This window comes from Homo sapiens, chromosome 8 (genome assembly GCF_000001405.40).
Source record: "Homo sapiens chromosome 8, GRCh38.p14 Primary Assembly".
In the NCBI taxonomy this organism is placed as follows: Eukaryota; Metazoa; Chordata; class Mammalia; order Primates; family Hominidae; genus Homo; species Homo sapiens.
Window position 1 is genome coordinate 91,491,425 of NC_000008.11, and position 4,545 is coordinate 91,495,969.

The following is a 4,545-nucleotide window of genomic DNA, read 5'->3' on the forward strand; positions in this document are numbered from 1 at the left end:
AAACACTGATGTTAGTGGACATTAATTTTCATGGTGTTTTCCTCTGAGAAAGGAGGGATTTTGTTCAGGACAATAAGACACTGTTTCAATTTGTGAGATGAAAGTTTTCAAAGAGAGAAAAAAAGAAGAGTCTATGCTTTTATGCTTTACCCAAGATTTGTCTCGACTCTTTTCTGCTTTGTCCTCTGGCCATATCTATATTACGATTTATTGCAGAGTAATTGATGGCTTTGGCAAATGGTGGTACACTGTAGTCTTTACAATGCATTGTGGTCTTTATGATGTTTGCAATGAGATAAAAAAGAATGCAAACCACTATTTTTTAGTATATCTCCTGAAATTCCATATCCCTTCAAAAGTGTACTATGTAAAGTACAAATCAGTCTGTACTTTGTTGTGCCTTAAAAATCTTTAGTAGCTTTCCTTTATCAACATAGTAGGATCCAAACCCTTTCGTATGGCAGAGAAGTCCTTTCTTCATCTGGCCTTTCTATGTGAAACGTCTTGCAGTTTAACTGATCTCTGTGTTATTTCTTGCCTGTGTGTTTTTGTTAATTCTGTATGCTGTGCCTAGAATTCCTTTCCCTTTTGCTCTTCCTCCAGTTGCCTGTCTTACCTATAGAAACAGCCTTTACTGCTCTAGGAAGCCTTCCTGCCATCATCCAGGTTATGCAATGTGTGTCTCCTGTGTTCTCACGATGGCATATATCTGTTAGTGTACTTGCTACATTAAATTATCACTAATTCTATTTTTTCTCTGTCCCCCAAAATACTGTGGTCTCCTTAAAAGCAGGAAATGTTAGCCATTAATTCTTTGTCAAGAGCAATGGCTAGCTAAAAAGTGAGCAATCACAAAATAAATGTTTGTCAGGTGAATGAATGAATGAACCAATGGTTAGTATTAGACCCTACCAGTTCTAATAGGTTTAATGCTCTTTCTTTTTTTTTCATCCAGCCTCTCCCAAACACCTTAAAACAAATACATCTTGAAGGATGTACCATGCATTCCATTATGATTTAGTTTGGAAGGAGTTTGGTGTACTATAACAACTGAAGGTATTAGCGTGCCCGGAGAGAAAGCATATTTGAAGCAGAGTTGTAATTATAAAAAAGGAAGAGTCCTAGCTCATGATTTATTGCCTGAAAATTTCCAATGTGAGTACAATTAGTGCACTCTTAGAATGGCTCCAAATGATGAAGGATTTAATTACATGAGGAGCTCTACCTCCAGTGCTAGAGATATAGACATAAATTTGTGTTTCTATTTAATTTACTTGAAAGAATTTTGATTTTAGCCACAAATTTGAATTTAAATGAATATAACTGGAAGCTATAGTTAAAGTCCATTATTCCTGAGAATTCAATGATTTGAGATAAAAATGTTTACATTTGTTCAATTCAAAGGAATAGCCTAGTTCTCATGCTAAACAGCAAACCCACTTTTTCTTTCTCTTCAGGCAGCTGTCTCAGAGGGATTTTCATACAACCTTCCAATCCATTTCTTCACTTTTAATGAGTAAAATATCCTAGGTGTTGTAAAATTGGGAAGAATTATATTTATATTATTTGTTTTACTTACAGAAATTTGTATACATTCATTATTTATTATAATTTATTTTAATTCTGACAAATAAGAACTTGTAAATATTGAGATAGTTTCTTTATTAGTTTAAATTTTTGTTGAGAAAAAATTCATATGAATTTACCATTTTAATCACTTTAAATGTACAATTCAGTGATTTTTTTTGTATATTTGCAATGTTGTGCAATCAACACCACTATCTAATTTCAGAACATTTTCATCACCCCAGAAGGCACCTCATATTCATTGAGCAGTTATACTCCATCCTTTCTTTCAAGGCCCTGGCAACAAGCTACTATTTGTCTCAATGAATTTGAGTATTATGGCATTTTATATAAAAGGTATCATATAATTTGTGACTTTTTCACTCAGTGACTGGCTTCTTTCACTTAGTGTAATTGGCTATTACGAATAATTGTGATAAGACCATTCATCTACACGATTTTATATGGCCATACCTTTTATTTCTCCTTGATATATACCTAGAAGAAAACTCACATAGGAACTCAATGTTTGACTTTTAAGTAACTACCAAATGTTTTTCTACAGTGGCTTCAACATTTTACATTCCTACCAGCAATGTACGAGGCTTCCAGTTTCTTGATATCCTTGCCAACACCTGATATTTTCTGATTTTAAAAAAATTATAGCCATCCTAGTGGGTAAGAAGTGGTATCCCATTATGTTTATAATTTCTGTTTTGCTGACTAATGTTCTTGACTAGTGTTGTTGAGCATCTTTTTTTATTATTATAATTTAAGTTATGGGATACATGTGTAGAATGTGCAGGTTACATAGGTATACATGTGCCATGGTGGTTTGCTGCACCCATCAACCCATCATATAGGTTTTTAGCCCCACATGCATTAGGTATTTGTCCTAATGATCTCCCTCCCCTTGCTTCCAAAACCCGATGGGCCACAGTGTGTGATGTTCCCCTCCCTGTGTCCATGTGTTCTCATTGTTCAACTCCCACTTATGAGTGAGAACATGTGGTGTTTGGTTTTCTTTTCCTGTGTTAGTTTGCTGAGTATGATGGTTTCCAACTTCATCCGTGTCCCTGCAAAGGACATTAACTCATTCTTTTTATGGCTGTGTAGTATTCCATGGTGTATATGTGCCACATTTTCTTTATCCAGTCTGTCTTTGATAGGCATTTGGGTTGGTTCTAAGTCTTTGCTATTGTAAATAGTGCTGCAATAGACATATGTGTGCATGTGTCTTTATAGTAGAATGATTTATAATCCTTTGGGTATGTCCCCAGTAATGGGATTGCTGAGTCAAATGGTATTTCTGGTTCTAGGTCCTTGAGGAATAACCACACTGTCTTCCACAATGGTTGAACGAATATATACTCCCACCAACAGTGTAAAATAATTCCTATTTCTCCACATCCTCTCAGGCATCTGTTGTTTCCTGACTTTTTTTTTTTTTTTTTTTTTTGAGATGAGTCTCACTCTGTCACCCAGGCTGGAGTGCAGTGGTGTGATCTCAGCTCACTGCAAGTTCTGCCTCCTGGGTTCATGCCATTCTCCTGCCTCAGCCTCCCAAGTAGCTGGGACTACAGGCACCTGCCACCATGCCAGGCTAATTTTTTGTATTTTTAGTAGAGACGGGGTTTCACTGTGTTAGCCAGGATGGTCTCGATCTCCCGACCTCGTGATCTACCCACCTTGGCCTCCCAAAGTGTTGGGATTACAGCCATGAGCCTCTGCGCCCGGCCATTTCCTGACTTTTTAATGATCGCCATTCTAATTGGCATGAGATGGTATCTCAATTTTTTTTTTCTTTGAGACAGAGTCTTGCTTTGTCACCCAGGCTGGAGTGCAGTGGCACCATCTTGGCTCACTGCCAGCTCCGCCTCCTGGGTTCACGCCATTCTCCTGCCTCAGCCTCCCGGGTAGCCGGGACTACAGGCACCCGCCACCAGGCCCGGCTAATTTTTTGTATTTTTAGTAGAGATGGTGTTTCACTGTGTTAGCCAGGATGATCTCGATCTCCTGACCTTGTGATCCACCCACCTCGGCCTCCCAAAGTGCTGGGATTACAGGCGTGAGCCACCGCGCCTGGCTGAGATGGTATCTCATTGTAGTTTTGATTTGCATTTCTCTACTGATCAGAGATGATGAGCTTTTTTTCATACTTTTGTTGGCCACATAAATGTCTTCTTTTGTGAAGTGTCTGTTCATATCATTCACCCACATTTTGATGGGGTTGTTTGGTTTTATCTTGTAAATTTGTTTAAGTACCTTGTAGATTCTGGATATTAGACCTTTGTCAGATAGATAGATTGCAAAAATTTTCTCCCATTCTGTAGGTTGCCTGTTCACTCTGATGATAGTTTCTTTTGCTGTGCAGAAGCTCTTTAGTTTAATTAGATCCCATTTGTCAATTTTGGAAAAATTGCTTTTGGTGTTTTAGTCATGAAGTCTTTGCCCATGCCTATGTCCTGAATGGTATTACTTAGGTTTTCTCCTAGGGTTTTTAATAATTTTATGTTTTACATTCAAGTCTTTAATCCATCTTGAGTTAATTTTTGTATAAGGTGTAAGGAAGGGGTCCAGTTTCAGTTTTCTGCATATGGGAATCCAGTTTTACCAGCACCATTTATGAAATAGAGAATCCTTTCCCCATTGACTGTTTTTGTCAGGTTTGTCAAAGATCAGATGGCTGTGGATGTGTGGTGTTATTTCTGAGGCTTCTGTTCTGTTCCATTGGTCTATATATCTGTTTTGGTACCAGTACCATGCTGTTTTGGTTACCGTAGCCTTGTACTATAGTTTGAAGTCAGGTAGCACGATGCCTCCAGCTTTGTTCTGTTTGCTTAGGATTGTCTTGGCTATACGGGCTCTTTTTTGGTTCCATATGAAATTTAAAGTAGCTTTTTCTAATTCTGTGAAGAAAGTCAGTGGTAGCTTGATGGCAATAGCATTGAATCTGTAAATTACTTTGGCAGTATGGCC